Here is a 23,124-nt window from a genome sequence, read left to right as displayed (position 1 = left end):
TTTGTATTTTGTTTTTGTTTTTTTTTTCTGAGACAGGGTCTCACTCTTTCACCCAGGCTGGAGTGGTGCAGTGGCACGATCTCAGCTCATTGCAGCCTCCACCTCCCAGGGTCAAATGAGTCTCGTGCTTCAGCCTCCTGAGTAGCTAGGACTACAGGTGCATGCCACTGTGCCTGGTGAATTTTTGTATTTTTTTGTAGACGGGGTTTTGCCATGTTGCCCAGGCTTGTCCCAAACTCCTGAACTCAGGTGATTTGCCCTCCTCCGCCTCCCAAAGTGTTGGGATTACAAGCATAAATCACCAAGTTCACCCACAGATTTCTTTCAGACAACACTTTTCTTGAACATTCTTGTGCTGATTGCCCATGCATTTTTGCAAGAGGTTCTCTAGAGCAGCATAAAATGTTCTTGACCGCACTCACTCAACCATAAGAATACATTTTACAATGTGACTCAAAAAAAAAAAAAAAGGTTTCATGACATAATTCTGACCTTTGCTGTGTAGCACACTCTGCAGTGTTCTATTTTATTTCTAAAGATGCTGGTCACGAGTTACGCATTGCTAAATTAATTTCATTACCTCCAGACGGGTAGCAACATGCAGTGTGAGAAATGTTGCTCTGGGGTATGAACAGAAGCAAAATTTTCTGGCTCTCAAAAGTGCTTTGTAAAAACCCCAGAACTTTGCAAAATGCTTTCTAAATGAGTAACATGCTTTGCAAATCATGAAGGGCTCTAGAAACCACAGAGCATGGAGACATAATCACACCGGAACCCCTCACCTTCTGCCCTCACCTCGTCTGCTTGCCTACCCCTCTATCATGAGCAGTGTGACACTGTCTGTCTCAAAAATCCACCTCTGGCCAGGTGTGGTGGCTCATGCCTGTAATCCCAGGACTTTGGGAGGCCGAGGCGGGTGGATCACCTGAGGTCAGGAGTTCGAGACCAGCCTGGACAACATGGTGAAACCCCGTCTCTACTAAAAATACAAAAATTAGTTAGGCATGATGGTGCGTGCCTGTAATCCCAGCTACTTGAGAGGCTGAAGCAGGAGAATGGCTTGAACCTGGGAGGCGGATGTTGCAGTGAGCCAAGATTGTGCCATTGCACCTAGCCTGGGCAATAAGAGCGAGACCCTGTCTCAAAAAAAAAAAAAAAAAAAAAAAGAAGCCCACCTCTCCACAGGCGCCTGGGACACTATCACCTCCATTCACTCCTAGACTTTGCTCTTGTGATTTGCTGATCTCTCTGTGTCATCATTCATTGCCCATCCCTTTATTTATTTATTTACTTACTTACTTATTGAGACGGAGTCTTGCTCTGTCTTGCCCAGGCTAGAGTGCAGTGGCACGATCTTGGCTCACTGCAGCCTCCGCCTCCTGGGTTCAAGTGATTCTCCTGTCTCAGCCTCCTGAGTAGCTGGGACTACAGGCGTGTGCCACCACACTGGCTAATTCTGTATTTTTAGTAGAGACAGGGTTTCGCCATGTTGGCCAGGCTGGCCTTGAACTCCTGACCTCAGGTGATCTGCCTGCCTGGGCCTCCCAAAGTGCTAGGATTACAGGTGTGAGCCACCACACCTGGACTATTTTTTTAAAAAATTATTTTTATTTTTTGAGACAGAGTCTTGCTCTGTCACCCAGGCTGGAGTGCAGTGGCGTGATCTTGGCTCACTGAAACCTCTGCCTCCAGGGTTCAAGCGATTCTCCTGCCTCAGTCTTCTGAGTAGCTGAGATTACAGGCATGTGCTACCACGCCAAGCTAATTTTTGTATTTTTAGTAGAGATGGGGTTTCGCCATGTTGGCCAGGCTGGTCTTGAACTCCTGATCTCAAGTGATCTGCCCGCCTTGGCCTCCCAAAGTGTTAGGATTACAGGCATGAGCCAGGCCTTTTTATTTTTCATTTTTGTGGGTACATAGTAGTTGTATTTATTTATGGGGTAGATGAACTATTTTGATATAGGCATGCAATACGTACTCACATCAGGGTTAATGCGTTATCCATTCCCTCTGGCATTTATCCTTTCTTTGTGTTACAGTCTACTTATAGTCTTTTAGTTGTTTTACTTTATTATTAATTTTTTGAGACAAAGTCTGTCTCTACTACCTAGGCTGGAGTGTAATGGAGTGATCATGGCTTGCCATAGCCTCGACCTCCTGGGCTCAAGTGATCCTCCCGTCTTAGCCTTCCAAGTTGGGACCACAGGCATGCACCACCATACCCAGCTAATTTTTTAAACAGTTTTTTTGTAGAGACAAGGTCTCATTATGTTTTCTAGGCTGGTCTTGAACTCCTGGGCTCAAGCGATCCTCCCACCTCAGCCTCCCAAAGTATCGAGATTACAGGCATGAGTCATCGTGCCTGGCTAGTATTTTATTTTATTTTATATTTTATTGTATTATTTTATTTTATTTTTGAGAGAGTCTCACTCTGTTGCCCATGCTGGAGTGCAGTGGTGCAATCTCGGCTCACTGCAACCTCCGCCTCCCGGGTTCAAGCGATTCTCCTGCCTCAGCCTCCCGAGTAGCTGGGAATACAGGCATGCACCACCATGCCTAGCTAATTTTTGTATTTTTATTTCTTTTTTTTGAGACAGAATTTCGCTCTTGTCACCCAGGCTGGAGTGCAATGACGCGATCTTGGCTCACAGCAACCTCCCCCTCCTGGGTTCAAGTGATTCTCTTGCCTCAGCCTCCCAAGTAGCTGGGACTTCAGGCATAGGCCACCATGCCTAGCTAATTTTTGTATTTTTTGTAGGGACAGGGTTTGGTTTCGCCATGTTGCCCAGGCTGCTCTCTGTCCCTCTTGTTCCCATTTTTCAGCCTTTCCATTTACTGTCCCCTTTGCCTGGGACACCACAGCCTCGCTGAGTCATATGGTATCTTTCAACTCTCAGCTTCGCTGTCCCCTCCTGCAGAAGGCCTTCCGCCACCAGCCGGTTTACAGGGCTTACCACACCCTGCTCACTCCCACACCCTTCAGACCACAGATTATAACCTGCAATTACTTCGTGTATTTCGTTATTTGCATCTGCCCCTTCCCACTGGACTATCAGCCCCCACAGTGGGCTCTCTGTTTTGTTCACTGCTGTACCTTCAGGACCAGGGCAGTGCCTGACACACAGTAGGTACTCATACTCATTTGTCAAGTGAAGGAAGCATCATGAAAACTAAGAGGCTGGGCGCCGTGGCTCATGCCTATAATCCCAGCACTTTGGGAGGCTGAGGCAGGAGAATCGCTTGAACCTGGGAGGCGGAGGTTGCAGTGAGCCGAGAGCATGCCACTGCACTCCAGCCTGGGTGACAGAATGAGACTCTGTCACAAAAAAAAAAAAAAAAAAAAGAAATGAGACTATCGCCATTTTGCAATCTCTAATGAATGAATATGTCTGAGTGTTGAGCAGAAACAGCTGCTGGCATCTGGAAAGGAGGTGCCTCCTGGTGGAGGTATACAGTAGCCCCACATAGGAAGGTTCTGGCTAAAAAACTCCTTACACCCAAATCTGAATCTGCTCGAACTTTGGCTGAGTCCCACTTTGGAGGAAACCCAGGGGACACAGGAACACATGAAATGACACCACAAGGACGCATTGGTCAGGTCCAGACTATGGGAAGCTCTACAACTAGGACAGCACTATCCACTGATAGACTTAGTGTGAAAAAAGAATGAAAAATGTCGAGCTAATCATTTTTTAGATTGATTATGGCCAGGCACAGTGGCTCTTGCCTGTAATCCCAGCACCTTGGGTGGCTGAGGAGGGTGGATTGCTTGAGCACAGGAGTTTGAGACCAGCCTGGGCAACATGGCAAGACCCCATCTCTATAAATAAATAAACAGGATTGATTCCATGTTGAAATAATATCCTGAGTGTACTAGATTATGTGTAGTGTTTCATTTTACTTTTTTTTTTTTTTAACAGAGTCTTGCTCAGTTGCCCAGGTTGAAGTACAGTGCCATGAACATGGCTCACTGCAGCATTAACCTCCAAGGTTCAAGAGATCCTCCTGCCTCAGCCTCCCCAGTAACTGGGACTACAGATATGCACTACTACACCTGGTTATTTTTTAAAGTTTTTATAGAGATAGGGTTTTGCTGTGTTACGCAGGCTGGCTCAAACTCCTGGCCTCAAGTGATCCTCCCGCCTTGGCCTCCCAAAGTGCTGGGATTACAGGCACGAGCCACCATGCCGGTCCTCTTTTTACTTTTTAAAAAACATGGCTATTAGAAAATTTAAAATTATGGTGACTCACGCCTGTAATCCCAGCACTTTCGGAGGGTGAGGAGGGCAGATCACTTTAGGCCAGGAGTTTGAGACTACCCTGGCCAACATGGCGAAACCTTGTCTCTACTAAAAATACAAAAATTAGCCAGGTGTGGTGGCGCATGCCTGTAATCCCAGCTACTCAGGAGGCTGAGGCAGGAGAATCACTTGAACCTGACAGGTGGAGGTTACAGTGAGCTGAGATTGCCCCACTGCACTCCAGCCTGGACAACAGAGTGAGACCCTGTCTCAAAAAAAAGAAGAAAATTTAAAAATATACATATTGCTCATATTGTATTTCTGTTGGACAGTAAAGATCTGCAGGACTGGATCTCCAGGAGATAAATTGCAAGGAAAAAGAAAAGATAATAGAGGGGAAGCAAGAGATGAAAGATGATTTTAAAAAGTATCAGCCAATTGCAATGGGTGGCCCTTGTTTGGATTCTGATTTAAAGAAGCTACAAAAAATCCTGATAGTTACATGAAAGTTATGAGATTTGGAAATTTGCACACTCACTAGATATTTGATGATTTAAAGGACTGTGACTTTTTTATTTGTACTGTTTTATTTTGGGTTAGGAGTGATGACATTGTGGTTTGTTAAATAAAAGGAACGTCTTTTAAGGCCACACACACATACACACACACGTGCGCACACACACATGCATTTTTTTTTTTTTTTTTTTGAGGCAGGGTCTCACTCTGTTGCTCAGGCTGGAGTGGAGTGCAGTGGTGTGTTCAGGACTCACTGCGACCTCAACTTCTCGGTCCTCCCACCTCAGCCTCGCAAGTAGCTAGGACTACAGGCATGTGCCACCACACTCGGCTAATTTTTTGTATTTTTAGTGGAGACAGGGTTTCGCCATGTTGCCCAGGCTCTTCTCAAACACCTGGACTCAAACAGTCCACTCTCTTGGACCTCCCAAAGTACTGGGATTACAGGCGTGACCCACCGTGTCTGGCCAAGACCATATATATTTTATGATACCATTTATATGCAGTGTTCAGAATAGGCAAATCTATAGAGGCAGAAAGATCAGTGGTTACCGGGGGCTGGGGTGGGGGAAGTGGGAAATGACTGCTAATGGGTATGGGGTTCGTTTTCAAAGGATGATTAAAATGTTCTAAAATTAGATTGCAGGGATGGCTTCATAATTCTGTGAACACACTATAAACCACTGAACTGTACATTTTAAATGGGTGGATTTTATGGTATGTACATTCTATTTCAGTAAAGACACTTTAAAAAGGAAGTGTTTTAATTAAGAGACAAATAAAATTTGCAGATAGGAAAACAATGAAGATAACCTCAAGACTGTTTACTGACCAGGAATAAATCAGTAACCTAAAATGTGGTTTCTGTTGGGTGAGGTGACTCATTCCTGTAATCCCAGCGCTTTGGGAGGCTGAGGCAGGAGGATCCCTTAAACCCAGGAGTTCAAGACCAGCCTGGGCAACATAGGGAGACCTCATCTCTGTTAATATAATTAAACATTTAAATAAATAAATAAATAAAATGTGATTTCAAACACCAGAAAGGGCCTTCCAAGCTATAGTAGATGTTTTGAAATCTACAAAGTACTTCATCAATGAAGATGTGATTTGTAAACTGTCAAGAACTCTGGCAACCATGAAGAACTTGGGAAATTATAGAACAATGCTACTTATTTTTTTTTTCTTTTGAGACTGAGTCTTGTTCTGTCGCCCAGGCAGGAGTGCAGTGGCGCAATCTCAGCTCACTGCAACCTCTAACTCCCGGGTTCAAGCAATTCTCTGCCTCAGCCTCCCAAGCAGCTGGGATTACAGGTGCATGCCACCATGCCCGCTATTTTTTCGTATTTTTAGTAGAGATGGGGTTTCACCGTGTTGGTCAGGCTGGTCTCGAACTCCTGACCTCAGGTGATCCACATGCCTCAGCCTCTCAAAGTGTAGCAAGAGTAATTGTTATAGCCAGCATTGCTTTAGGCCCAAATACTACAGCCTTCCTCAGCACATTTCCCTCCATCTGCTGGAACTCTGCAGTAAAACATGTACAAATGTAAAATGTCTGTGGTATAAATGACATCCTTGTGCAGTGCACAATGGGTGCAACTATCCATGACAGCCCTGACTGCAACATGGGTTGTATAGCAAAACATTGGGAATAAAGCCAGTGTCCATCAACAAGGAATAGCAAATAAACCATAATATACACACAGCGTGGAATATTGGACACCTGTAAAAAAGAATGACGACACTTCCTATATCTCCAGAATATGTTATTAAATAATGCAGACCAGTGATGTTATACCTATTATGTACAAAACGAGAAAAACAAAAATATCTGTTTGTATTTTCATTTAAAAAATGATGGAAGGATACAAAAGAAACTAACGAAAGGGCTTTACCATGGTAGATGTGGGGAAGAGTGGATTGGAAAAGAGCAGGAGTAAGACTTCTCACTTCACGCCTTGCTGTATTTTGATAAATGTTTTTTTGAGACAAAGTCTTGTGCTCTGTTGCCCAGGCTGGAGTGCAGTGGTACAATCATGGTTCACTGCAGCCTTGACCTTCTGGGCTCAAAGGATCCTCCCAGCTCAGTCAGCCTCCAGAGGAGCTGGGACTACAGGTGCACACCTCCACATCCAGCTAATTTTTTGATTTTTTTTTTTTTAGCAATGGGGTCTTGCTATATTGTCCAGGCTGGTCTTGAACTCCTGGCCTCAAGCAATCCTCCTGCCTTGGCCTCCTAAAGTGCTGGAATTACTGGTGTGAGCCACAGCACCTGGCTATATTTTGATTTTTTTTTTTTTTTTTTTGATATGGAGTCACACTCTGTCACCCAGGCTGGAGTGCAGTGGCGTGATCTCAGCTCACTGCAATCTCTGCCTCCCAGGCTCAAGGGATTCTCCTGCCTTAGCCTCCTGAGTAGCCGGGATTACAGGCACCTGCCACCATGCTTGGCTAATTTCTGTATTTTTAGTAGAGATGGGGAGGTTCGCCATGTTGCCCAGGCTGGTCTTGAACTTCTGACCTCAAGTGATCTGCCTGCCTTGGCCTCCCAAAGTGTTGAGATTACAGGCGTGAGCCACTGTGCCCAGCCTATATTTTGATTTTTAAAATCGTGAGTAATTATATATTCAAAAAATAAAATGAATACACTTTTCCCAGTTGCAGATTATAACTTTGTGTAACAGATGTTGAGCTGTAAAATGTCAGGTAGGTGACATTAAACCCTGTGATCTGTGCAGCCCCAGTCAGGAGAGATCATTACTCATTTTCAATTGTGAATCATGTGTACTTTAGCTCCTGCAAATGCTTTTTGCTTCTCTTGTAGCCACCCCAGACTCTCTCCCTAAACCTGCCAGGCTCGAGAGTAGGGCTGAGACCCCCAGCCAGGGCCCAGCCCCCAGGAAGTGCTCACTGACTATCGATTAGACCAGATTAACAGATGAATCTGAAGGCAGTGTACTCTGAGGCCAGACCGCCTGAGGTCTAACCCTAACCTTGTCACTTATTAAGATGGGTGACCTTAAGCATGTCCGTTTAATCTCCCTGTGCCTCAGTTTCCACATCCATAAAATGGGAATAAAAAGCAATCCTGGCCAGGCGCGGTGGCTCACGCCTGTAATCCCAGCACTTTGGGAGGCCGAGGCAGGTGGATCATGAGGTCAGGAGATCGAGACCACCTTGGCCAACATGGTGAAGCCCGTCTCTACTAAAAATACAAAAATTAGCTGGGTGTGGTGGCGCATGCCTGTAGTCCAGCTACTCGGGAAGCTAAGGCAGAAGAATCGCTTGAACCCAGGAAGCGGAGTTTGCAGTGAGCCGAGATCACATCACTGCACTCCAGCCTGGTGACAGAGTGAGACTCCTCCATCTCAAAAAAAAAAAAGCAGTCCTGCTGGGCATGGTAGCTTATGCTGGTAATCCCAGCACTTTGGGAGCCTGAGGTGGGCTGATTGCTTCAGTCCTGGAGTTCAAGACCAGCTAGGGCAACATGTCAAACCCCGTCTCTAAAATAAATAAATAAATAAAAGTAGCCGGGTGTGGTGGCACACACCTGGAGTCCCAGTTACTTGGGAGGCTAAGGTAGGAGGATCACCTGAGCCTGGGAGGTGGAGGCTACAGTGAGTTGTGATCACGCCACTGCACTCCAGACTGACTGATAAAGCAAGACCCTGTCTCAAAGAAGCAAAACAAAACAAAAATGTTTTACCATGTAGGGTTGCTGTAAGGACTAAATGAGCAAATTCATTTATACGCAGGGCACAGAGTGAGAATATGGTAACTATGAGCTCTTCATGAAGGTGGAGGGCTCAGGCACAGTGAAGGGTAAGAGGCTAGGAGGGATCAGCTGGGAGGCAGGGTCCGAAGGATGTGAGGCTCAGGTTCAGGGAAGCAGGCATTGCCCCTCAGGGTTGGGGAGGGAAACGAAAAGGCCAGCTGTGACAAAGGCTGCCAAGATGACAAGTCAGAGGGGACAGTCAGAGGTAAAGAGGTCACTGATGATCTTGGTCAGAGGAGTTTCAGGAGCCTGACAGGGACGGAAGCCGGCAAGCCCCGAATCAGGGAAGGAGTGGGAGGTGAGAACAGATGATCAAGGGCAGATGACTCTTGCAAGGCGTGGCTGAGAAGCAGAGAGACACAGTGAGGCTCTTGGGGGACAACTGGAAGGCATGGGGCACTTTGATTTTAACTCAGGGAACCCTGAGCTTACCTAAGTGCAGATGGCCAGTCACAGCTGCAACCCATAGACTAAGAAGCCATGGGCCAGGTGCAGTGGCTCACACCTGTAATCCCAGCACTCTGGGAGGCTGAGGCGGGCGGATCACTTGAGGTTGGGAATTTGAAACCAGCCTGACCATCACTTGAGGTCGGGAGTTCGAGACCAGCCTGACCAACATGGTGAAACCCCCGTCTCTACTAAAAATACAAAATTAGCCAGGCATGGTGGTGCATACCTGTAATCCCAGCGACTTGGGAGGCTGAGGCAGAAGAATCACTGAACCCAGGAGGCGGAGGTTGCAGTGAGCCAAGATCATACCATTGCACTCCAGCCTGGGCAACAAGAGCAAAACTCCGTCTCAAAAAAAAAAAAAAAAAAAAAAAAAAAAAAAAAAAAAAAGCCGTGAATCCACACTGATATAAATGAATGGATGAATGAGAAAATGAAATGAAATGGACAAGAAGGAAACACTCTTTCTTACAGTAAAATGGTGCCTAGTGATGGTAAAGCATACGGCGAAATGAGAAAACCACCATTTGTCAGCTACTAGAGGAATAATTGTTTCAGGCAAGAATCATCAATGGATGATGACCCCAGAGTTAGCAGAATATTTACATAGCCTCAAAGTATATCCTCATGAGACACTTATTGATTCCAAAGGGAATAACAGTAACTTCATTGTGGAGCCCCTGGTGAACACCGAGTTAACCAAGCCATCCAAGTTAACAACAGTAATGGGAAGAGACATTGGCCAGGTGCAGTGACTCACACCTGTAATCCCAGCACTTTGGGTGGCTGAGGCAGGAGGATCGCCTGAGCCCAGGGGGTCAAGGATGCAGTGAGCTAGGATTGTTTGACTGCACTCCAGCCGGGGCAATAGAGCAAGACTCTGACTCTAAAAACAAATAAATAAGAAAATAAACAGTAATGGGATGAAACCACATGTGCCTCCTAATACATTACACTGAGGACACATCACTTCTCTGATATTCCTGCAAAAGATGCATAACCCTAGTCTGATAATGATGAAAACTCAGACAAACCCACACTGAACGACATTTTACAAAACAGTTTGCCTGCGTTCTTCAAACATGTCAGGAAAGATAAAGACAGACCCAGGCACAGTTCCAGACTGAAGGAGGAAAACAGACAGAACACCTAAATACAATCCCTGGTTCTGGGTTGGCAAAGAAAAGACATTGACGAAAGAAATTTATTCAACAAGGGAAACTGAATAAGGTCTAGGATTAGATAGCAGCATTGTGCCAATGTTAATTTCCTGATTAGCATAATTGTCCTGTGCTTAGGTAGGAGAATGAATTTGTTCTCAGGAGATACACGCTGAAGTGTTTCAAAGTAAAGGGAAATTGGCTAGGCGAGGTGGTTCATGCTTGTAATCCCAGCACTTTGGGAGGCCGAGGCAGGCAGATCACTTGAGGCCAGGAGTTCAAGACCAGCCTGGCCAACATGGTGAAATCCCATCTCTACTAAAAATACAACACACACACACACACACACACACACACACACACACACACACACACACACAAATTTAGCTGGGCATGGTGGTGCGTGCCTGTAATCCCAGCTACTCAGGAGGCTGAGGCAGGAGAATCGCTTGAACCCAGGAGGCGGAGGTTGCACTGAGCTGAGATTGCACCACTGCACTCCAGCCTGGGCAACAAGAGCAAAACTCCGTCTCAAAAAAAAAAAAAAAAAAAAAAAAGGAAAGGAAAGGGAAATCATGATGGAGTAAATAGTAAATAGAAAACATTTGGGCAATGTGGGTGAAAGGTATTCAGAAATTCTATGTGCTGTTCTTGCAACGTCTCTATAAACCTGAAGTTATTTCAAAATAAAAAGTTAACAAAATGGTAACATTAAAGATCAGGGAGTAGTAATAGCAGCTAACATCTCTTGAGGACTCACCATATTCCAGGTACTGCCCGCACTGCCCATCCTCACAATAGTTAATAGTTGTTTTATTTTTATTTTTATAGATACAGGGTTTCACTAGGTTGCCCAGGCTGATCTCGAACTCTTGGGCTCAAGCGATCCTCCCACCTCGGCCTCCCAAATTGCTGGGATTATAGGCATGAACCACCGCACACTGCCAATAGTTAGTGGTTAATGTGATTATCCTATCCCCATTTTACAGAGTAGGAAACTGAGGCTCAGAAGAAAAGATGGAGAGTTAGGATGGGAGAGGTGGTTAGAGGAGGAGGAGTGGGTTTCTGAATAAGGATGTTCCAGCACTTCCCTCCTAGCAGGCTCATTATTTAGACTTGGAATGGTCTAGTTAGTGACTGCCTCCCCCATTAGACTATAAACCCATGAAAGCACGGGCTGTGTCTATCTTGGTCATTGATGCGTCAATAGTGTCACTACAGGCCCTACACAGAGAAGAAAGCCAGCCAATGTTTATTGATGGAATAACTGATGCCTATTCACAATAATGATAATGTTATGACTATCAATAAAGATAACAGTAATAACGGTTCTCATCTGTGTTAATGCATTTCATCCTCAAAATAACCCAAGGGGGCTGAGCGAGGTGGCTCATGCCTATAATCCCAGCACTTTGGGAGGCCAAGGTAGGAGAATTGTTGGAGCCCAAGAGTTCAAGAGGAGCCTGGGTAATGTAGTGAGACCACATCTCTACAAAAAATAAACTTAAAAATTAGCCAGGCATGATGTCACACACCCGTCGTCCCAACTACTCAGGAGGCTGAGGTGGGAGGATTGCTTAAGCCAGGAGGTCAAGGCTGCAGTGAGCTATGATCACGCCACTGCACTCCAGCCTGGGCAACAGAGAAAGACCTTGTCTCTAAAATGAAATAAAACAGAATACATATAACCCAAGGACTGTTTTATCCTCATTTTACAAACAAGGAAAGTGAGGCTTGCAGAGATGTCTCTTGCCTGAGGCAGCCAGCCAGAAGGGTATGGCTGGCCCTTGGCAACCCCACCCAAGTCCTGGGCCCACACGATGTCCCACACCCACCTTCTGGAAGTCCTTCTTGGAGATGAGGCCACGGGGATCCGTTACGTAGTCCTGGAAGGCTTCAGAGCCCACAATGTCCTTGAGTTTCAGGAACATGTCGAAGAACTTGAGGATCATCTCCACATTGGATGAGGATTCCACGAGCATGTCCACCATCTGCCGGGCGATCATGCCGTTCACCACGTTCCCTGCAGGCAGCCCCAGGTCAGTGTGGCCGGTGAACACTCCCTTCTGGGGCCCCACCAGGCTTGCCTCTCTTTCCAGCCCAGGAGCCACCACGCTGCTGGAGTGTCCCTGGCCAGCCACAGCCTCCCCTCCACAGGTCCCTTCCTGACCTGCGTCAGCCTCCTGTGCCAACCTGGCTGATCCTGCCTTTGCCCACCTCCCCCAGTAAAGCTAATGATGTCAGGTCGGACGTGGTGGCTCACGCCTGTAATCCCAGCACTTTGGGAGACCGAGGTGGGTGGATCACTTGAGGCCAGGAGTTTGAGACCAGCCTGGCCAACATGGTGAAACCCCGTCTCTATTAAAAATACAAAATCAGCTGGGCGTGGTGGCATGTGCTTGTATTTCCAGCTACTTGGGAGGCTGAGGCACGAGAATTGCTTGAACCTGGGAGGCGGAGGTTGCAGAGCCGAGATCGTGCCACTGCACTCCAGCCTGGGTGATGGAGTGAGACTCTGTCTCAAAAAAAAAAAAAAAGATAATGATGATGTACGCTAAAGGTAGGTGCCAAATGCTACCCTGGCACAATCACACAAAAAGGGAAGTGTGTGACTCTACTTTTAGGAAGAGAAACTGAGACATAGAGAAAGTCATGCACTCAAAGTTACATAGCCAGTAAAGTGGGGAGAATGGATTTGAACTCAGAGCTGCATGACCTCAGGGCTTACACAACTAAAACTTCCACCAGTACACACAGTCAGGAGGGTCCACAGAAGACTGAGGCTAGCCAGTGGTAAGCAGCAAGGAGAGGTAGAGATTGGCAAACTGCGATCCCACACTCCCTCTAAAGGCAGCAGCTGAAGCTTGGCTCCAGTTTATTTTTGTAATTTTTAAATTTTAATGTAGGCTGGGCGCAGTGGCTCAAGTCTGTAATCCCAGCACTTTGGGAGGCTGAGGCGGGAGGATCACGAAGTCAGGAGATCCAGACCATCCTGACCAACATGGTGAAACCCCGTCTCTACTAAAAATACAAAAAAAAAAAAAAAAAAATTAGCCAGGTGTGGTGGCGGGCGCCTGTAGTCCCAGCTACCGGGGAGGCCAAGCAGGAGAATGGCGTGAACCTGGGAGGCGGAGCTTGCAGTGAGCCGAGATCGCGCCACCGCACCTCCAGCCTGAGCGGCAGAGCGAGACTCCGTCTCAGAAAAGAAAAAAAAAAAAAAGGGATCCTAATATATCCACATTCATCAATTGTTTATCTTTTGCCACATTTGGACATTTGGTTTGTTTTTGGGGTTTGTTTTTTTGAGACAGGGTCTTGCTCTGTCACCCAGGCTGGAGTGCAGTGGTGTGATCACAGCTCACTGCAGCCTGGACCTCCCGGGCTCTGGTGATCCTCCCACCTCAGCCTCCCGAGTAGCTGGGTCTACAGGCACACACCACCACACTAGGCTAATTTTTGTATTTTTAGTAGAGACAGGGTCTCACCATGTTGCCCAGGCTGGTCTCAAACTCCTGACTTCAGGTGATCTTCCCACCTCGGCCTCCCAAAGTGCTGGGATTACAGGTGTAGCCACCGCATCTGGCCTATTATGGCTTCTTCATCAACCCATGGATCCTGACACGATGTCAGATGGGGTTGAGGATTAGGGTCTCCCGGGTCTCAGGGGGCCATTCTCAGGCTTCTCTGAACCTCTTTACTGTTCCCTCACCCTCACTCCTGGGTGTTTACCTTCTAGTAGCGACAGCAACATCACCACCATGTCCTTCTGCAGATCCAGCAGCTCCTTCAGCAGCTCGATCTGGCTTGAGTCCTAGAGATCCCAGCTCGGTGAGGGCTGGTCTCAGCATACACCTCCCCCACCTCTGTTGCTTCTCCCCCTCCTCACCTACCCAGCAGGGCCTAAACCCGTTTTCTCCCCTCTTACCTCCGAGGGGACCCGAGTCCAGACATGTTCCTCGGAAGCAGGGGAAGGGGCAGAGAGACAAGATTGTGGGGGTGGGGTTGGCACTTGGGGGACGGGCTCGATAGGTGATGGGTAGTGGGAAGGCTGGCAGACAAGGAGGACTGAGAGGCTTGCGGGGCAGACATTTGGGGCAGAGAGAGACAGAGACAGACAGAGACAAACACTGGGGACAGAGACCCAGGTCTAGGAAGGGATGTGAGCCCAGCACTGTGCCTGGCCTACGGTGGGATTGACAGATGTATGTTGAATATAATGTGTGATGGCAAGAGTGGGACTCTGGGTTCAGGAGGAAGGCTGCAGAGACAGCCATGTGCTTTCTGGTAAGCCGTCTGCGGGGAACATAGGGCCACAGTGTAGGGCCCATAGAAACCTCCAATACAAAGTTTTGCCTCATGGCCCCTATTTATGTTAGGTTGAGTCACATAAAATTGCCAACATGTGATCACTTTTGGCTCACAAAGTGGTAATTTCTTTCTTTTTGAGACAGAGTTTTGCTCTTGTTGCCCAGGCCGGAATGTAATGGCGCAATCTCGGCTCACTGCAACTTCTGCCTCCCAGGTTCAAGCAATTCCCCTGCCTAAGCCTCTCGAGTAGCTGGATTACAGGCATGCGCCACCATACCCAGCTAATTTTTTACTTTTAACAGAGATGGGGTTTCTCCATGTTGGTGAGGCTGGTCTCGAACTCCTGACCTCAGGTGATCTGCCCGCCTAGGGCTCCCAGAGTGCTGGGATTACAGGTATGAGCCACCGTGCCAGATCCAAAGTGGTAATTTCATATGGTTCCACCAAATAAAATGGAGAGGGGAGGAGATGATACCAGATAAATGGGATGTAAGGATCTTTTGCTCCCATGCTAGTTCTATCAGTTGTTGATTCCAATCCTAATGTATTTCCACAGTTCCAAAGCTCTGCATTCTGCGCCTAAGGTCCCGACACTCCTAATCTCAAGATCTTACAGTGGGTGGGCGCCTGTGGTTTGTGCCTACCCATGATTCAGTCCCCCTCCTCTCTTTACAATCCCTCAATTTTCACCTGCGGAGTCCCCCATCCCACAGTCAGAGCACATGGGGCTAACCCTACCTCCTGGTTCTATAGGTGGGTATATGACCGGGCCTGGTCAGTCAAAGCTTTCTTTCCTAAGCCTATGATGATTGGTTCAGGGAGGGACATGTGACCCAATAGGCTAGTCAGAGAGAATCTCAGGTTTTTTTTTTTCTTGGAGCTTTCAGGAAAGAGGAGATCTCTTCCCTCTAGGGCTGTTAAGAAGTAGAGTGGATAGGAGCCTGAGGCACCATTTTTTCCAGCCCAGGGAGACAGCCTGCTTGCAAATGCAGTCAAAGAGGAGGCAGTTCTGCTGACATCACTCTAAGCCCTGGATCTGTAATATGAACTGATAAATTCTTTATTTTTCTTAAGCCACCACTTTGCACTGGATTTCTAGCTTTTGCAACCTAGACTAGATGGTGGCGGATGAATTAGCCCTGCAGGATTTGGAATTCTACATGATGATACCAACACTCTCTAGAATTTTAGGATACCAACAGCACAACTTCAGCTGCTGTGACACGGAGGAATTGCATTCTAAGTTTAACTCCTTTTAAAAAGTCAGATGACAACGAATTAGGGTTTCTGCCAGCCCCTGGGGCACCTTTGAGCAAATTAGAAAAAAAGGCGTCCCCTAAAACACTTCCTGTAGGGAAGTTATAACATGCTGGATGCTTTACTGCCATCTGCTGGAAAACTAAACTATTGTAATAAATACACCATTATGTGTAGGATGTGAATGCTCTCAGAGATCGTGCCTTTGTGCAGTGCACGACCTGCGGAACAGTATATGGCAGCCTTGAATATAGTTACCAGACAGAAGCAGAGCAAATGGATTAAGTGTTCGTGAGACATTGGCAAGGCTGCAAAGGGGTGAGGGAAAGAGGAACAAGGATTATGGAAATGGAAGGTGGTGCTCAACAGGGACCTTACATCATGAATGCCTGATATGGGTGTCATCTGCCGCAAGTAAGATAAAGAAGCAAAACATTTCCTCAGCCCCAGGCTCTAATCTAGAAACCAGCCCCATCCTAGCCCAAGGACTGTCCACATCTGCGATGACTCATCAGAGAGAAAAACAGCAATCAATCATAGAGGAGCTCCGGCCATTGGGACGGGGCCAACACGTCAGACCAATGGAAGCGTGGATGGAAAACCAGCTGATTGGTGGGGAGGGAGGGGCAGAGGAGGAGGCGGGGTCATGCAGACAGCCAATCCAGAAAGAGGATGGATTTGGCCACTGAGAGGGAACCAGTCTGGAACATGCCGGGAGCACTCGGGTGACAAACTGACCAAAGGGGCAAGACTTGGAAATGGACCACTTGGGGGACGCCCGGAAGCAGGTGGATGGAGACCAGAGGGGCTCGAACCTGAGCGAGCTTCATCATCATGTGGGCGAACACGTGCAGGAATCCCACCACTGCGTCCCATAGGCGACTGTGCGCCAGGCTCTGCTGGTTCCCGGTGCAGGGACCCTGGGAGGCAGAGTGCCGTGTGGGGGGGAAGGGAATCCCCGAGAAGGGATCAGGGATCACGATGCGGGACCCCCTCCCTTCCCACTCCCGCCCCAGGGGGAGCGCCCTACCTGGATGTACTCAGTGAGGCTGTTGAACACCTGCTTAGCCACCGACATGGCTTTGGAGAAGTTCCTCTTGCCCTGCTCTTCAATGACATCCTTGCCCGAGTAGTACCAGTAGAAGTCGCTGATGGATTCCTGGTGGGGGCGGGTAGGGTGTGAGGGGGTGCTGGGGCCGACCATGGCCCTGCAGCCCCCGACCCAAGTCACACCTGAACCGTCTCACGTCCTCACCTGCAGCCGCAGGAGGTAGTCCACAGTGCAAATGATGATGTTAATAGTGGTCGTGTTCCCTGTCTGTGTCCGTAGGTAGTTCTGGAAATCTGGGGAGATGAAAAGTCATTTATCCAGCACCTCCCATGTGCTAGGGGAGATGAACAGTGGGTCATTTATTCATTTATGCAATACTCATGTGTTGAGTTCCTATTGTATGCCAGAAAGCATATCATCATCAATTTATTTAATAACTATCAAGTACTTACTATGTGACAGAGAAAGATGGATGATCATTTATTCATTTGTCTAAAAATACTGGCCGGGTGGCTCACGCCTGTAATTCCAGCACTTTGGGAGGCCCAGGCAGGCAGATCACCTGAGGTCAGGAGTTTGAGACCAGCCTGACCAACATGGTGAAACCCCGTCTCTACTAAAAATACAAAAATTAGCTGGGTGTGGTGGTGGGCACCTGCAATCCTAACTACTTGGGAGGCTGAGGCAGGAGAATCGCTTCAACCCCGGAGGCAGAGGTTGCAGTGAGTGGAGATCTCACCATTGCAGTCCAGCCTGGGCAACAAGATGGAAACCCCGTCTCAAAAATAAATAAATAAATAAATAAATAATTTTAAAATAGGCTGGGAGCGGTGGCTCACACCTGTAATCCCAGCACTTTGGGAGGCCCAGGTGGGTGGATCACTTGAGGTCAGGAGTTTGAGACCAGCCTGGCCAACATGGTGAAATCCCGTCTCTACTAAAAAAAATACAAAATTAGCCAGGTGTGGTGGCATGTGCCTGTAATCCCAGCTACCTGGGAGGCTGAGGCAGGAGAATTGCTTGAACCCGGAAGGCAGAGGTTGCAGTGAGCCTAGATCATGCCACTGCACTCCAGCTTGGGCAACAAGAGTGAAACTCCGTCTCAAAAAATAAATAAATATAAAAAAATAAAATATAAATATTATTGAGGGCCTGCTATGTGTCAAATGTGGTGGAGCGTCATTTATTCATTCAGTTTTTTCCAACAAATTTGTATATTGACCACCAACTATGTAGCAGGGAGAAATAGAGATTCAGTTCCTCGTTAGTTTCCAAACAATTTTATCAAATTCCTCCTATGTGCTGGGGATATTCATGCATTTATCCAACAAATATTTATTGAGCACCTACTAAAGGCCAGGGAACATATGGATTGGTCACTTGTTCATTTATTCAACATATTTTATTGAGTGTATACTACATCCTCACGAGATTAAGATTGTCACATCCTCTTTGCTACAACAAATTTGTTGCGTTCTTACTATGTGTCATGCAGTATTCTAGGCTCTGGGGATACAGTAGTAAAAAAAAAAAAAACAGTCCCCGGCCTTGGGGGGGATTTTTTTTTTTTTTTGACAAGGTCTCCCTCTGTTGCCTAGGTTGGAGTACTGTGGCATGATCATAGCTCACTGCAGCCTTGACCTCCTGGGTTCAAGTGGTCCTCCCACCTCAGCCTCCCAGGTAGCTGGAACTATAGGTGTGAGCCACCACATCCGGCCAATTTTTAATTTTTTTGTTGAGACCAGCCCAGGCTGGTCTCGAACTCCTGGCCTCAAGCAACCCTCCTACCTTGACCTCCCATAGTGCTGGGATTACAGACATGAGCCGTATGTCCAGCCCCTGCCCTTGTGAAGTTTATATTCTTGTGCAGTAATTTTTTAATCTTTTCTGACTGCAATCTATGGTAGGAAATCCTTTTTTTTTTGAGATACAGTCTTGCTCTGTCACCCAGGCTGGAGTGCAGTGGCATGATCTCAGTTCACTGCAAACTCTGCCTCCCAGGTTCAAGCAATTCTCCTGCCTCAGCCTCCTGAGTAGCTGGGATTACAGGCATGCGCCACCACGCCCGGCTAATTTTTTTGCATTTTTAGTAGAGACAGGGTTTCACCATATTGGACAGGCTGGTCTCCAACTCCTGACCTTGTGATCCACCTGCCTCGGCCTCCCAAAGTGCTGGGATTACAGGTGTAAGCCACCACACCCAGCCGAGGAAATCCTTTTTACATTGAGACCTGATACATGTGTTCAATCTGAAATTATATTCACCTATTCCCGAAAGAGAAGTTTCACATTGCCTTACTCTGTGCCATGCATTCTGTTCTTTTCTGTCCTGTACTGCTCTAGTTAACTACAAAAGAAGAAGTGTGTGCTTCTCATCCTCTCAACCTTGGCTGCACATCAGGACAACTAGGAGGCTTTTAAAAACCCCAGTGCTCAGGCCCAACCCCAGATCAATTGAATTAGAACCTGTAAAGGCAAAACCTGGGCTTAAGTCTCTTTTAAAGCTCCCCAGGCATGCCAGTGTACAATTACAATGAGAACCTCTGCGTGAAACTGATTCATGAACGTCTGTCTGATGGGTTGGTTCCCACTATTTAAAAAACATTGTTCTGTGAAAGCAAACTGTTAAAGCTGAGTGATGGGTAGTTGGGGGTTTATTATACTGTAATATATGATTGGAGGTTTATTACACTGTAGTATATGATTGGAGGTTTATTACACTGTAGTATATGATTGGAGGTTTATTACACTGTAGTATATGATTGGAGGTTTATTACACTGTAGTATATGATTGGAGGTTTATTACACTGTAGTATATGATTGGAGGTTTATTACACTTTAGTATATGATTGGAGGTTTATTACACTGTAGTATATGATTGGAGGTTTATTACACTGTAGTATATGATTGGAGGTTTATTACACTGTAGTATATGATTGGAGGTTTATTACACTGTAGTATATGATTGGAGGTTTATTACACTGTAGTATATGATTGGAGGTTTATTACACTGTAGTATATGATTGGAGGTTTATTACACTGTAGTATATGATTGGAGATTTATTACACTGTAGTATATGATTGGAGGTTTATTACACTGTAGTATATGATTGGAGGTTTATTACACTGTAGTATATGATTGGAGGTTTATTATACTGTAGTATATGATTGGAGGTTTATTATACTGTAGTATATGATTGGAGGTTTATTATACTGTAGTATATGATTGGAGGTTTATTATACTGTAGTATATGATTGGAGGTTTATTATACTGTAGTATATGATTGGAGGTTTATTATACTGTAGTATATGATTTTTTTTTTTTTTGGTAGAGACAGGGTCTCCTTATGTTGCCCAGACTTGTCTTGAACTGCTGGGCTCAAGTGATCCTCCTGCCTCAGCCTCCTAAAGTGCTGGGATTACAGGCATGAGCCACAGTGCCCAGCCAAGTCCTTTTAAATGTTTATAGCAACATCATGTTGCACAGGAAGGTTTTAACAGCCCCTGAAAGTATTTTTGCCCCCCGTTTTTCTTTCCCCTTAACTTTTTTACAGTCAGTTCACAATTGCTCTATCAGGTTGGCTCAACAGAAGGCCCATTTTGCCTAGTTTCATGACATAGACAAAGCATACTCAAATATTCAAAATTTTATAAGCAAAGGTACAGGTTTTCCCATCAACCCTGCTTTCTAACTCCTTTATTTGTGTTAATTTAAATTGTTAAATTAAATTGTGTTAATTTAAATTGGGCTATATGCAAAAATAAAAGATACACAGCTCCTGTAAAAAAAATTCTGGCAACTGACAACACCTGTTATAGACATGTGCAAATAAGTGAGAGACAAACCTTTTGTCTGCTTTGAATAGCACTGACTCCTCAAGACATGCAAGGGGTCTGAGATTTGAAAGATATTTCAAATATCTATTTGATTAGGTCATGAATTTAGGCGAGGACTGGGTTGCAAATATGTTGGGAGACAGCAATCCCTTTCATAACAACATTCTCATTTTCAAAACTTCATATTCCTGAGGAATAAAATTTATTTTAAACCCAAAGACTGATTCCATCTTAGTTAAAATTAAAGAATGAAAATCTTAGTCCCGGCTGGGTATGGTGGCTCACACCTGTAATCCCAGCATTTTAGGAGGCCAAGGCAGGAGGATTGCTTGAATCCAGGAGTTTGAGATCCCCTGGGCAACACAGTGAGATCTCATCTCTACAAAAAATAAAAAACTTAGCCAGACATGGTGATGCATGCCTGTAGTCCTGGATACTCGGGAGGCTGAGGGGTGGATTACTTGAGCCCAGGAGGCAGAGGTTGCAGCGAGCTGTGATCACACCACTGCACTCCAGTCTGGGCGACAAGAGTGAGACTCTGTCTAAAAAAAAAAAAAAAAAAAAGAAAAAATCTTAGTCCCATGGCACAAAGGTATTTAATAAACCTTGAAAAACTCGTTGTGGACACAAGAGCTTTTGAAAATTCAAGACAAAGAGATCATACTTTATCCTTTGTTGAAAGAAAAAGAATGAAGATTAAAGATATTTACAAATCAGTTACCTTAAAGAGCACTAACCAAGTGGGTGAAGGTTCTATGGAAGTAAGATTACTAATTACTCCAATTCTTGTCACGAAAGTTGATTTCCGGGTAGTCTGTGGTTTCCTAATCACCTGCTAAAGGTTATAACCACAATCTTGAGACTGTACATGTTTGTTATAGGAAATGGCATTGGGTAGAATGTTTTTTGTGCAGAATTTTGTCTGTTCTGTAAAGTTGTAAGCTAGGTTTGCTGCATGAGACTGCATTTCTCATCATTGATGTTGTGTAATTAATTTGCTGTCATCCTCAATCTTGTTAAATTGGCTGAACCACAACAAAACAAAACTCTTGCTTAAGATAGGAAAGAATCTGTAGGCCTTTGTACAGATCTTTCCTCTGCAAAGATTTTATAAGCAAAATAAACAAGTGATTCTAATAGATTTATTTTTAAATGCCAGGCAGTTTTTTCCCTTAGGTCTTTTCTGGACCTAAAGTACAGAAATCCACCACGTGTATAGAACTTTGGCAGCCACTGCAGAGCGCCTGTGGGAAAATAGCATGTGACAAATTGTCCATTTGGGCAAATTGATTTTTGGCCAAATTGGTTTTTGGCAGGTTGCTTTTGGGGAATTGGACTGGCCAGAGGAGATGAGGGGGAAACAAAGTGGCTAGATTCCAGAAATTCCAGCGAGGTTTTTTTTTGAGATGGAGTTTTGCTCTGTTGCCCAGGCTGGAGTGCAATGGTGCGATCTTGGCTCACTGCAACCTCCATCTCATGGGTTCAAGCGATTCTCCTGCCTCAGCCTCCTGAGTAGCTGGGACTACAAGCATGTGCCACCACGCCCTGCTATTTTTTTTATATTTTTAGTAGAGACGGGGTTTCACCATGTTGGCCAGGCTGGTCTCGAACTCCTGACCTCAGGAGATCCACCAGCCTTTGCCTCCCAAAGTGCTGTGATTATAGGCCTGAGTCACTGCGCCCAGCCTCCAGAGAGATTTTGAAAGCTAGGTGGATTGACACTGGCTGGAGAGTGGCCATCATTGACCGGGGGAGGAGGAGGGGCGGAAACTAATTCAGTCAACCCTTCCGTACCAGCCCCAAACCTCGGCTTCCCCTCCACCCCACACCCCTCCTCCTCACCATTATTGTGCCCCTCACAGAGCAATTGTAGGAATCGGAACAGGTCTTGTGTGAATTCATCATCCGCCATGACCTTCTCTCCTAGGTGGAAGGGAGGGGACAGGGCCCAGGAGGGGTCAGATGCGCCAAGACACAGCGCACACATGCACAAGGCCCATGCACACTGCACACGCATGCACAAAGCATGGGGGTGCTGGGAGGAGCAGCTGCCACTCCAAAGACACTGTGAGGGCCATGGGCATCCATGACGCCAGGCGGTCTTGACCTCAGAGCCCATGACATCAGCAGACGGAGACCCAAGGGGCCCTGAGTCATGAAGCTGGGGCCTCAAGTGTCTTTCTACATCAGTGCCCTCTGATGTCACCACTTGTGTTACGTTCGGGAGAGTCTGCTGACCTAGCAGACATTCAGGCAGCTGGTAATGCCCTCAGCCCCCCTTCAGACCGTGGAGGTTAATGGATTATGGGGGTTTGGGTCACCTTCACACAAAGGCTCTGGGCAGGGGAAGATTGGGCTGGGAGGGATAAGGGATGGGGATTGAAAGCCAGCCAATTGGCCCAGATGCCTTGAAAGCAGCCAATCCAGGAGTAGCACAGGGGAGGCGTGTAAACAAGGGCCAATCAGAATGGGCATCTGAAAGAAGCAAATCATGGTGGGCGGTAGGGGAGGAGGCTAGACCGCAAATGGGCC

At 46.4% G+C, this 23,124-nt stretch overlaps 1 protein-coding gene across 5 annotated transcripts in view, besides 3 other annotated features; it reads right to left on the bottom strand.

The window, feature by feature from the left end:
* RYR1 (ryanodine receptor 1) overlaps nt 1-23,124 on the bottom strand; it is a 153,874-nt gene that overhangs the window by 27,170 nt on the left and 103,580 nt on the right. For all 5 annotated transcript variants that reach the window (NM_000540.3, XM_011527205.3, XM_006723317.3 and 2 more), the window contains 6 exons: nt 22,435-22,515; nt 16,960-17,048; nt 16,735-16,863; nt 16,520-16,624; nt 13,869-13,950; nt 11,975-12,162 (listed from right to left, as the gene is read on the bottom strand). In NM_000540.3, the coding sequence (NP_000531.2) occupies nt 11,975-12,162; nt 13,869-13,950; nt 16,520-16,624; nt 16,735-16,863; nt 16,960-17,048; nt 22,435-22,515 (674 nt within the window). The remainder of the gene's footprint in view (nt 1-11,974; nt 12,163-13,868; nt 13,951-16,519; nt 16,625-16,734; nt 16,864-16,959; nt 17,049-22,434; nt 22,516-23,124) is intronic.
* Nucleotides 2,914-3,103: an enhancer, noted in NCBI's record as "active region_14576". NCBI's record gives its function as "activates an Ori minimal core promoter by ATAC-STARR-seq in GM12878 lymphoblastoid cells {active_cell/tissue: GM12878}" and the evidence as "EXISTENCE:reporter gene assay evidence [ECO:0000049][PMID:35858748]".
* Nucleotides 15,703-15,792: an enhancer, noted in NCBI's record as "active region_14575". NCBI's record gives its function as "activates an Ori minimal core promoter by ATAC-STARR-seq in GM12878 lymphoblastoid cells {active_cell/tissue: GM12878}" and the evidence as "EXISTENCE:reporter gene assay evidence [ECO:0000049][PMID:35858748]".
* Nucleotides 16,143-16,202: an enhancer, noted in NCBI's record as "active region_14574". NCBI's record gives its function as "activates an Ori minimal core promoter by ATAC-STARR-seq in GM12878 lymphoblastoid cells {active_cell/tissue: GM12878}" and the evidence as "EXISTENCE:reporter gene assay evidence [ECO:0000049][PMID:35858748]".

This window comes from Homo sapiens, chromosome 19 (genome assembly GCF_000001405.40).
Source record: "Homo sapiens chromosome 19, GRCh38.p14 Primary Assembly".
NCBI lineage: Eukaryota > Metazoa > Chordata > Mammalia > Primates > Hominidae > Homo > Homo sapiens.
Note: the sequence above shows the minus strand (reverse complement) of the source record. Positions and strands in the feature narration are given on the sequence as shown.